The sequence below is a fragment of the Homo sapiens genome, chromosome 10 (genome assembly GCF_000001405.40).
Source record: "Homo sapiens chromosome 10, GRCh38.p14 Primary Assembly".
Lineage (NCBI taxonomy): Eukaryota > Metazoa > Chordata > Mammalia > Primates > Hominidae > Homo > Homo sapiens.
Window position 1 is genome coordinate 72,900,230 of NC_000010.11, and position 12,047 is coordinate 72,912,276.

The window sequence follows — 12,047 nt, forward strand, 5'->3', positions numbered from 1 at the left end:
GAGGATTGCTTGAGCCCAGGGGTTCGAGGCCAGCCTGGGCAACATAGGGATACCACCCCCCCCGACCCCCCGCACCATCTCTAAAAAGAATGAAAGAGTGTCTTCTGGTCTCCTGCCCTCATGAAGATAATCTTTATTCTTCCATAGATTTTTATGACATCTGCGACGAGGACTGCCATGGCAGCTGCTCAGATACCAGCGAGTGCACATGCGCTCCAGGAACTGTGCTAGGCCCTGACAGGCAGACATGCTTTGGTAAGAAACTCATCAAAGGTAGAATCAGGCTATTAGGATCGAAAGGACAAATCAAAAACTCTTCCTGCCTCAGAGCACCATCATTTTCCCAGTGTGTGTCTCCAAACACTTGGAATGGTGTTTGCTTTTTAGTTTATGCCTGGACCGAAAGCCCCACGCCAAATTTGTATCATGATTAGGGACAGCAGAGAATTGTGCCCTCCACTAGGGTAGCCACAGATGGCCATGGTGCACTTGAAATGTGGCTAGTGTGACTGAAAAACTGAATTTTAATTTTATTTTAATTTTAAAAGTGATGTTTGGCTACACACGGTGGCTCGCACCTGTAATCCCAGCACTTTGGGAGGCTGAGGCTGACAGATGGCTTGAGCCCAGGAGTTTGAGACCACCCTGGGCAACAAAGAAAAAACTCATCTCTACAAAAAATATGAAAATTATGTGGGTATGATGGCAGGTACCCATAGTCTCAGCTCCTCAGGAGGCTGAGGTGGGAGGATCACTTGAACTTGGGAGTTCAAGGTTACAGTGAGCCATGGTTACACCACTGCTCTCTAGCTTGGGTGAAAGAACGAGACTCTGTTTCTAAAAATAATAATAATATCTTTAATATTGGTTATATATCAAAGTGAAAATATTTTGCATATAATTGGGTTATATAAAATATATTATTAAAATTAATTTCGCCAGTTTATTTTTAAAAAATTTTAATATGACTACTAAAAAATTTTAAATATGTAATTTGCTTTATATTTCTGTTGAACAGCACTGGTCTGGTCTAGAATTATCTAAGGACTTACTCCTCTAGCTTCACTGATACAATTTTGGTTGTTCTGAGTAGCAAGAAAGATGAGTCAGATTGTCTGTAGGAAATCCAGAGTTCTTGAATTTTATATTATGTTGTCTATAACTAGAAGAGAACAGAGATGAAAACCCCAAGATTGAATATTATTTCTCTTTCTCTTTAATGTTATGAAGCTTTTTGGATTCAGACTCAAATAGATTTAAAACAAGTCTAGAGAGAAAGGGGAAGATTGCCCTACCCTGGTCCCCCAAGAAGAACAGTAACAGGTCAGGATTGAGGTAGGAGATTAAGGTGAAAGGAGCATAAAAGGCTTATTGGTTTTTGTTTGTTTGTTTGTTTGTTTTTGAGACAGGATCTTGCTCTGTCGCCCAGGCTGGAGTGCAGTGGTGTGATCTCAGCTCATTGCAGCTTCGACATCCTGGGCCCAAGTAGCTTCTTGTTTTAGAAAAGCTTTTGCTCTTCAGTCTCCTAAATGAGCCAGGGGCAATGGCTCATGCCTGTAATCCCAGCGCTTTGAGAGGACGAAGCAAGAGGATTGCTTGAGGCCGAGTTTAAGACTAGCTTGGGCAACATAGTGAGACCCCATCTCTATAAAATAAAAATAAATTAGCCAGACATGGTGGCAGCCTTCCAAAGTAGCTGTAGTCTCAGCTGAGGTAGGTGGATTGCCTGAGCCCAGGAATTTAAGGCTGCCATCAGCTCTGATTGTGTCACTGCACTCCAGCCAGGGCGAAAGAGCAAGACCCTGTCTCTGAAAAACAAAACAAAACAAAACAAAACATAAATACTTCAATAAATAAAGCCTCCTAAATGAACCCCACTGACCATCCTGTGAAGCATGTTTCGGCTCTGCCATAGGCGTTGTTAGGGATCTCGTGTGATTGATTTTGAGTATGTGATTTAATGCTAAATGCCTTGGGGTAGGGGCAATAGTGGTTCCTGAAGTCTCTGCCCACCCTCATGTATTTCTGTTCAAAAATATTTGGCTTTATTTTAAGCCAGGAGTTGTTCATGCATTTCTTTGCTTTTGTTTTAATATAACTTTTGAAGAGGTAATACGTTTAAATGGTTCCCAAATTAAACAACATGAAAAAGTATACAGCAAACTGTCCAGCTCTCAGTCACCCTCTTGCCCCATTTCCCTCTTCCCCAACTCCATCCCAAGGAAACGGCTGTATTATTTTCTTATATGTGCTTCCAGGGTTTCTACAGTCAGATTTAAAAATGTAAATATATATATGTGTATTAGTCTGTTCTCATGCTGCTAGTAAAGGCATACCCAAGCCTGGATTTATAAAGGAAATTTATAAAGGAAAGAAGTGTAATTGACTCACCCTTCCACATTGCTGAGGAGGCCTCACAATCATGGCAGAAGATGAATGAGAAGCAAAGTCACATCTTACATGGCAGCAGGCAAGAGAGCATGTGTAGGGGAACTCCCATTTATAAAACCATTGGATTTCGTGAGACTTACTTACTACCAAGAGAACAGTGTGGGGGAAATTGCACCCATGATTCAATTATCTCCACCTGGCCCCACCCTTTACACATGGGGACTATTACAATTCAAGGTGAGATTTGGGTGCAGACACAGCCAAATCATATCAATATGTTTACTTATTGGCCATTTTTAAACATCAAAGGTAGCATATCATTCACATCTCTTCCTTAATTTATCTTAGACAATCTTTTTCTATCAAAGCCCCAAGTTCCTATGTGGGGTCTGTGGGACTTCAGGGAGATGGTGAATCCTCTGAAATTGTAGACAGTGTTTTGTGTTTGTAAGCATGTGTCAATTTTCCTTTAGTTTTTATTTAAATGTAATAATTTTAATTATTTTAAATTATATAATTTGTTCAGGCAGCATACAAGAAAATAATATAACAGACACTCATGTACCTAGATTTAACTAGAGTTAAGTTTTGCTTCCTTTTTGTTTTTCTTTTCTTTTTTTTTGAGATGGAGTTTCACTCCTGTTGCCCAGGCTGGAGTGCAATGGCACAATCTCGACTCACTGCAACCTCCACCTCCCAGGTTCAAGTGATTCTCCCGCCTCAGCCTCTAGAGTAGCTAGGATTACAGATGCTCACCACCATGCCTGGCTAATTCTTTTGTATTTTTAGTAGAGACAGGGTTTCACCATGTTAGCCAGGCTGGTCTTGAGCTCCTGACCTCAGGTGATCCACCCACCTTGGCCTCCCAAAGTGCTGGGATTACAGGCGTGAGCCACCATGCCCAGCCCCCTTTTTCTTTTAATTTAAATACAATTTTGTAAATACAGTAAAGCCATCCCACCCCATCCTGCTTTCTTCTCTCAGCCTCCAGGGGTAATCATTGTTTTGAAATTAACATGTGTTCTTCTCATCCCATTTTAATGCTTTTATTATTTATGTATGTACCCATAACAATAGATAGCATTGTTTTGTGTGTTCTTAGAATTAACATAAAAATGATACCTTACCCAATGTGTGAGATTTTCTCTAGCAGGTACCCATAAGAATGGAACTGCTGGGGCATAGAGTATCTTCACTGGCTATAACAATAAACCCCAAATAATGATGGGTTAAATAAGTAGAAGTTTATTTCTCTCTCATATTAAAAAAAAAATCAGTCCTAAGGGAGGAGACCACCCCTCATATTGTCTTATGCCTAATTTCTGCCTCCAAAAAAAGAAGAAGTAAGAACTAAAAGACAGAAATGAAATCCACAGGCAGACAGCCCGGCGCCACACCCTGGGCCTGGTAGTTAAAGATCGACCCCTGACCTAACCGGTTATGTTATCTATAGATTACAGACATTGTATGGAAAAGCACTGTGAAAATCCCTGTCCTGTTCTGTTCTGTTCTGATTACCGGTGCCTGCAGCCCCCAGTCACGTACGCCCCTGCTTGCTCAATCGATCATGACCCTCTCACGCAGACCCCCTTAGAGTTGTAAGCCCTTAAGAGGGACAGGAATTGCTCACTTGGGGACCTCAGTTGTTGGAGACCTGAGTCTTGCCGGAGCTCCCGGCCGAATAAAGCCCTTCCTTCTTTAACTCGCTGTCTGAGGGGTTTTGTCTGCGGCTTGTCCTGCTACAGTCCAAGATAAGCAGTCCAGGCTTGGAATAGAGGCTTCTAAGTGACCTACCCAAGCACGGATGTCACCATGTCTACATCCAGGAAGGCTGTGGGCCTCTAACCATCTACTTTCCAGGCAGTATAATGAGGAAAGGGAAAGAAGGAGCCCTGATAAAGATTCTTAATATTATCAACATTTTGCATTTCTACAAGTTCTGTTTGTTTGTTTTCAGTTCTGCCTTGTCTTTTTACACACTTCTTTTATTTTGCTTATTATCCTTTCTTTTATCTTTTTACTAATTCTTTAAATACTTGTATTATGGATTTTTCTGGATAATTCTGTTATCTCCAGTTCAAAGCCTCTAATTATCACGATAATGCTCTCTCACAGTGGATCATCCCTCATGTAAGTGTCTTGTGGCAGACCATCTTCTGTTGTAGTTTTTTCTGTAGGACACCACTCGTGTCATCTGGTATCTTTGTTTAGTGTTGCTATAAAGGAATACCTGAGGCTGGGTAATTTATAAAGAAAATGGGTTTATTTGGTTTATGATTCTGCTGGCTGGGAGACTGAGCATCTGGGGAGGGCCTCAGGCTGCTCCCACTCATGGAGGAAGGTGAAGGGTGCTGGCATGTGCAGAGATCTCATGGCAAGACAGGAAGTGAGAGTGAGAAGGGGGAGGTGGCAGGCTCCTTTTAAACACGCTGAAACTAATCTAATAGAGCAAGAACTCACTTATTACTGCAAAGACAGCACCAAGCCATTCACAGGGGACTTGCCTCCAAGACCTGAACACCTCTCATTAGGCCTCACCTCCAACATCGAGATCAAATCTCAATATGAGGCCAGGCACTGAGGCTCATGCCAGTAATCCCAGCACTTTGGGAGGCCAAGGCAGGTGGATCACTTGAGGTCAGGAGTTCATGACCAGCCTGGCCAACATGGTGAAATCCTGTCTCTACTAAAAATACAAAAATTAGCTGGGCGTGGTGGTGCGTGCCTGTAATCCCAGCTACTCGGAAGTCTGAGGCAGGAGTATCGCTTGAACCTGGGAGGCAGGGGTTGCAGTGAGCAGAGATCACACCACTGCACTCCAGTCTGGGTGACAGAGGCTCCGTCTCAAAAAAAAAGAAAAATCTCGCTATGAGATTTGGAGGGGTCAAATATCCAAACCACAGCACCTGGTTTGAGGAAGTTTTACACAGAGCACTTTTTCAAATGCTCCTGTCAGCATCACAGATGCTTTATCAGACCTAGGCCAAATTTTCCATCAATTTCTCAGCTTCAAGTTTCCCCATACCATGTGGGAAGTGTAAAACCGTACTTCAGCCATGGCAGAGCCCTGGCTTGGGGCTTCCATTGCTTGTGAAGGCTTTTCTTTCTCCTAGAGCCTTGGGCAGAGTTTCCTTATTGCTTCCCTGGGCCACTGGGCAAAGTTCTCCCCATCTCATTGAGGGGATACATCTTCTGGGGTCCTAGACTTAAGCAGGGTTTCAGTCACAGCTTATCTCCTCTCCTGGGGCCAAGGTCATGCCTCCTGTCATCGCATGGGTGTTTAACCCCAGTCCTTGGTTTATGTCCTATCTAGGCCTGTTATTCCTGAGGACTATGACAAATTTAGCTCCCAAGCTTCCTTTTCCTTGTTTGTAGAAAGAAAAGCATAGACATTTGCTGCCAACTGTGCATTTTTTTACAAGAGTCCATACCTTTCATCAGATTCTTAAAAAGGTTAGCAATCATTGCTTAAGTACAGAGTGAGAATATACTAATTTAAAAAACAGATTTTGAGGGTAATAGTTCATGTTACAAAAGAAAATTGCCTTACAAAATATTTTATCAGCTATTTCCTTCTGTAATGGAAGCTCCTTTCATGACTTAAAACAATTTACTTTATAAGTTTGTATTTATTTAGCAACTTCTCAGGAACTCATTAAAGAAAGTGAAATTCACCAATACAAATAGGTAGGTGTACCCACGACTCAAAAGGAACTTCATTTTCCCATTGTTTTTCCCTGAAGAGAAGGTAATTGGCAAGCAATTAGGTACCTTCCACTCAGCAAAGGGCAGATGAACCAATAACGTGGTTGAGGAGATCAGGTGGATGGGAGTGATGATACTGGATCAGAGGGGGAGCTGGATGGTGGAAGGTGCATCAACAGGATCTGAAAAGATGTGGAAATTCTGCCCGGGGGGTTGGGAAAAGGCTGAATCACTCAGCAGTATAGAAACAGTGTGGTTTCTCTTCTGCAGATGAAAATGAATGTGAGCAAAACAACGGTGGCTGCAGTGAGATCTGTGTGAACCTCAAAAACTCCTACCGCTGTGAGTGTGGGGTTGGCCGTGTGCTAAGAAGTGATGGCAAGACTTGTGAAGGTGAGAATGGGCAAAAAGGGACCCAAATCAAGAGCCCAGAGGAAGCCACTGGCTTATTCTCTGATGTTCAGGAAACTGCCTTAGTGTCCGAAGAGAGCAACCGTTTGGCTGTGCAAAGAAATGACAAAAGGCGTTCATCAACATTGAGAATACTCACGCTATGGACAGAATTCAGTTTTGATTTTGTCTCTAAGATTTAACAGGAGGGAATTTTGCAAGAGGCAGAAAGCCACATTTTTATGTGAGAAATAAAAATAGGGTGTTCTGGCCAGGTGCAGTGGTTCATGCCTGAAATCACAGCACTTTGGGAGGCTGAAGTGGGAGGATCACTTGAGGCCAGGAGTTTAAGACCAGCCTGGGCAACATAGTAAGACACTACCTCTACAGAAAATTAAAAAATAAAAATTAGTTGGGTATGGTAGTGCATGCTTGTAGTCCCAGCCACTCAGAAGGCTGAGGCAGTAGGATTACTTGAGCCCAAGAGTTTGAGGCTGCATTAAGCTATGATTGCGCCACTGCACTCCAGCCTGGGCAACAGAGAGAAAATATCTCAAAAAAAAAAGGAGGGTGGATATTTGGTATTTCTCAAACTTTAATGTGCCCACGAATCACTTAGGATCTTGTCAAAATGCAGATTCTGATTTAGTAGGTCTGAGATCAGGTCAAGATATTGCATTTTTAAACAAGTTCTAGGAGTCAGCTATGCTGCTGGTCCAAGGAGCACACCTGGACTGGCCAGGTAATAGAGGCAGTAGCATAACCACTGGCCGACAGCTGTGTTTCCCAAACTTCCCTGCTGCTGAGAAGCACCTGGGGCTTTTACGCTTAGCCCCTCCCAGACCCTCTCCTGGAGCCTTGGCTTCAGAGGAGCTAAGATGGGGACTTCGAGTTTGTGTTTTTAACAAGTTCCACGGGTGATTTTTATCATCTTGGAAGTTTGAGAAACTGGTTTACATGAAACCATTTCCTCTCCTCCCCATATGCTTTGTGTTTATGGGAGAGGAATACAGTTTGGGGGGATAAATAAAATAATCTATTTTATTTTACTTTTAGATCTATTTTTAATAGCAGACATTTTATAGGACTTTATACATTTATATAACTAATAAAAAAGAATTCATAATATATATCAAATATTTGAAATGGAAATTGCCTACCATTATTATATGAAACTTAGATAATATCCCTTCTCTAAGGCACATTTACCCTTGCAAATTATCACAACTAAAATTCCATCACTTCGGCCAGGCATAGTGGCTTACGCCTGTAATCCCAGTACTTTGGGAGACTGTGGCGGGTGGATCACTTGAGGTCAGGAGTTCGTGATCAGCCTGGCCAACATGGTAAAACCCCGTCTCTATTAAAAATACAAAAATTAGCTGGGCGTGGTGGCGGGCGCCTGTAATCCCAACTACTCAGGTGGCTGAGGCACAAGAATCACTTGAACCTGGGAGGTGGAGGTTGCAGTGAGCCAAGATAGCGCCACTGCACTCCAGCCTGGTGACAAAGAGAGACTCCAGCTAAAAAAAAAAATCCCATCACTTCTACTTTAATAAGTCAGAGTTCTCATGACACCCTGCAGATTATATGGAGAGATAAATGGTGTAATTGTTATTATTTACAGAGGACATATATTTGTTCCTTAGGATAATTAAATTTGTGGAATAATAGAGCTGTGGTACTGGTTACAAAAGTTCACTTTATTCTAGCAATATTCAAAATAATAAAAATACTACCCCAAAAGGAAAAATTATGGCTACTGTCCATATTTTATTTCATGCAACAAACTTTGCATTATTAACTGAGAGACCATTAACCAGAATATTAAATTACTGTTCCTTATAATAAGTCTAAATGTATTTTAAACTTTATTGAATAGGCGTAGTATCCAGAGTCCTCCTTAAATCTTAATTATTTTATGTAATAATCTTTGTATATTTGAATATTAATAAAATGTTCCATAAAAACATTTGTAATTATTTATGAGTACTTTATTGGAAAGATTGCAGTTAATCCTCCCTTATATAATCTTAAAAACTAATAACCATAACTGAAAAAATATTTTAGCAGAAGATGAAAATTAAGTGTGAGTTATACTTTAGGATTAATATTCCTGTTTATAACCCTTAAGTTTTATTGATAGTCCAAACATATATGTTTCTTTAGCTAAGCTATTTGATAATTATATGTTCTTTTTTTTTAAAAAAAAGGCCCTTTTTAATTTTTTTTTTTTTAGATTCAGGGGCTACATGCACGGGTTTGTTACATGGATATATTGCTTAATGCTGGGTTTGGGTTTCTATTGAGCCCATCACCCAGATGGTGAATGTAGTACCCAATAGGTAGTTTTTCAATCCTCACCCTGCTCCCTCCTCCTACCTTTTGGAGTTCCCAGTGTCTTTTTTTTTTTTTTTTTTTTGAGATAAGGTCTCACTCTGTCACCCAGGCTAGAGTACAGTGGTACCATCTTGGCTCACTGTAGCTTCCACCTGCCTGGGCTAAGGTGATCCTCCCACCTCAGCCTCTCAAGAAGCTGGGACTACAGGCGTGCACCACCACACCAAGCTAGTTTTTGTATTTTTATAGAAACAGGGTTTCACCATGTTGGCCAGGCTGGTCTCGAACTCCTGAGCTCAAGCAACCCACCTGCCTCGGTTTCCCAAAGTGCTGGGGTTACAGGTGTGAGCCACTGTGCCAGGCTCCCTGTGTCTCTTTTTATATAGTTTGTATTTGTCCCATCTTTATGTCTGTGTGTACCCATTGTTTAGCTCTCACTTACAAGTGAGAACATGCAGTATTTTTCTGTTCCTGCATTAATTCAGCTCTTGTTAGTTTTTAAGTAATTTTTATTGTTTTGTTTTACTTATTTTGTATTTATTATTATTAATTTTTTTTTTGAGACAGAGTCTCACTTTGTCACCCAAGCTACAGTGTGGTGGGGCAATCTCAGCTCACAGCAACCTCTGCCTCCCAGGTCAAGCGATTCTCCTGCCTCAACCTCCCCAGTAGCTGGGATTATAGGCAACTGCCACCATGCCCTGCTAATTTTTTTTGTATTTTTAGTAGAGATGGGGTTTCACCATGTTAGCCAGGATGGTCTCGATCTCCTGACCTCGTGTTCTTTCACCATGTTGGCCAGGCTGTTTTGAACTCCTGACCTCACACGATCCACCTGCCTTGGCCTCCCAAAGGGCTGGGATTATAGGTGTGAGCTACCGCGCCTGACCTGTTTTGTTTTATCATAAAAGTGTAGAAGAAAATATAGAGGAGCAAGAGAAAATAATTTAAATGACCCACAATCCATTTGCCAGATATATCCATTCTAAACATTTTGGTATATCTTCCTGAGAGACTTAAATATTTTAAGCTAATTTAAATTTTCAGTTTATTTTGTATTTTGTATTTTTAGACCTGGAAATATCCTGAATGAACATTTAGTGCAACCTCTTCATTTTACAGATATTGAAATTGTGACTCAGAGAAATAAAATGACTTAAGGAAGGTAACTTTTAAGGAAAAAAAGTGCTATTAATGTTCATTTTAACATCTTATAGCATATTTTTGTGCTTTCTTCTATAGTATTATATATAATCTTCAGCCATTTCAAAAGCCTCTAGGTGTGCTTTTATCCTTTAAAAATACACAGATGTATAATGGCCAGGTGCGGTGGCTCACGCCTGTAATCCCAACACTTTGGGAGGCCGAGGCGGGTAGATCACAAGGTCAGGAGATCGAGACCATCCTGGCTAACACAGTGAAATCCTGTCTCTACTAAAAATACAAAAACAAAAAACAAAAAAAAATACAGATGTATAAACTGGTATTAATCTCTTAAGTGTTGCAAAGAGTAATTCATTGCCATATTTTTCTCTACATACATTTCACAAAAACTAATTCATGTTCCAAATAACTGCTTTTTAAAAACTATTATTGAACTGAGAGAGTTATAGCTATAACTGGAAATCAGCTTTTCTCTTTACCTGAGTGTCTCAGATGTTTTGAAAACATCCCCTTTCTTTACTTTAACCTAGAACAGGGGTCAGCAAACTTTTCTCCAAAGGTCAGATGGTAAATACTTTAGGCTTTGTGGACCATACAGAATCTGTAGAAACTACTCAACTCTGTTCTTGTAGTGAGAAAGCAGCCATGAAGGTAAATGAATGCACATGGCTATGTGCCAATAAAACTTTATTTGTAATAATGTGTGCAGATTAGAATTTGACAACCTCTGACCTAGAAGATAATGTCCAAGTCCCACAAAGGTCATTTTTTTTTTCTCTGTTAAATTTAAAATCACCTTGTAGATTCTTTTGTTTTCAATGGAATATTTTTCCTTTTTGTCCATTTGGCTTGAGTTTGCTTTTTGAATATGTAAAACATTAAAAAAGGAAAATTAAACAAAACCATCCTGTGAAAGGACCATCACCAAGGGTTTGGTTGAATGGACTCAGCATGTTGTCCAGGCCTCCTTTTTATAGTGTGCTATCAGCCCAAAGCCGTTTACCCCCAGTGCTCTTGTCCTAAATATTTGAGGAGAGGGCCAGGTGACCCAGCCAGTCCACAATAAGTCAGATCCATCCAGCCAGTTCAGGTGAATTCATATTCCATCAGTCTCTTTTACATCAATAATGCTCTATAAAATGTCAAATTGGGTAGATTAAATGTTACAGCAAATAAGAAATGACTTTTGGGTCCTAGTCCTAAAAACTCATAACCCCAGGCTAACCATGAGAAAAACATCAGACAAACCCAACCTGAAGGACATGCTACAAAATTCCTCACCAGCTTAATTGGGTAGAGTTATGGATGTTGGAAGATTGCTCTTTGTAGCTATGATATTTCATAAACATTCCTTGAGGTCTTGCCCGAATGTCCAGTCACTAGGTTAGGCACCAGGGATGCTGCCATAAGTTAAGTATAATCCCTGATGCAAAGTGCCAGAATTCTTGGGGTAGAGGGTTACGAGATTATTCCCTTTTCTGTTGGTTTCTACTGCAGACGTTGAAGGATGCCACAATAACAATGGTGGCTGCAGCCACTCTTGCCTTGGATCTGAGAAAGGCTACCAGTGTGAATGTCCCCGGGGCCTGGTGCTGTCTGAGGATAACCACACTTGCCAAGGTAGTACATGGGGCAGGGGGACTTGTCTCTACTCTGATTACACTTCTTCCTCTCCCAAAGCTCTTTGTCTTCCTCCCCCAAGTGTGTCAGGGTTCTCATCTTTTAGAACAATGGCTCTTCGAGCAGTGTGTATTGCTGAATCATCACTCTGGAATCATTTAACAGAGAAGATCTCTAAGAAAAGATTACCAAAAACTTAACTTTCCTTTGCTGTTTACCTTTGATTTTTGACTGCTTTCTATGGTTAGTTGTATGACTAATACTCAATATGGAAGCATAAGACATTGATACATCTCCTGTCTTTTCTAACAGGGTTGAAACTAAGTGAACTCAGTTGAAAGGCCTGAGGAACATATTCTTCTCCCTACACTTAGGATATGAGGGTTAACAATCCTCTGAGAATTATTTTCTGGAAATCTAATTCTTTTTTTTCTTTT

General features: G+C 40.8%; 1 protein-coding gene across 2 annotated transcripts in view; it reads left to right on the plus strand.

Annotated features, from left to right (window-relative positions):
- Positions 1-12,047, plus strand: part of OIT3 (oncoprotein induced transcript 3) — a 39,298-nt gene that overhangs the window by 6,491 nt on the left and 20,760 nt on the right. For both annotated transcript variants that reach the window (NR_130125.2, NM_152635.3), the window contains exons 3-5: positions 148-255; positions 6,367-6,489; positions 11,488-11,610. Coding sequence is in view for 1 of the 2 variants with exons in the window: in NM_152635.3 (NP_689848.1) it covers positions 148-255; positions 6,367-6,489; positions 11,488-11,610 (354 nt within the window). In the remaining variant the exon portion in view is untranslated. The remainder of the gene's footprint in view (positions 1-147; positions 256-6,366; positions 6,490-11,487; positions 11,611-12,047) is intronic.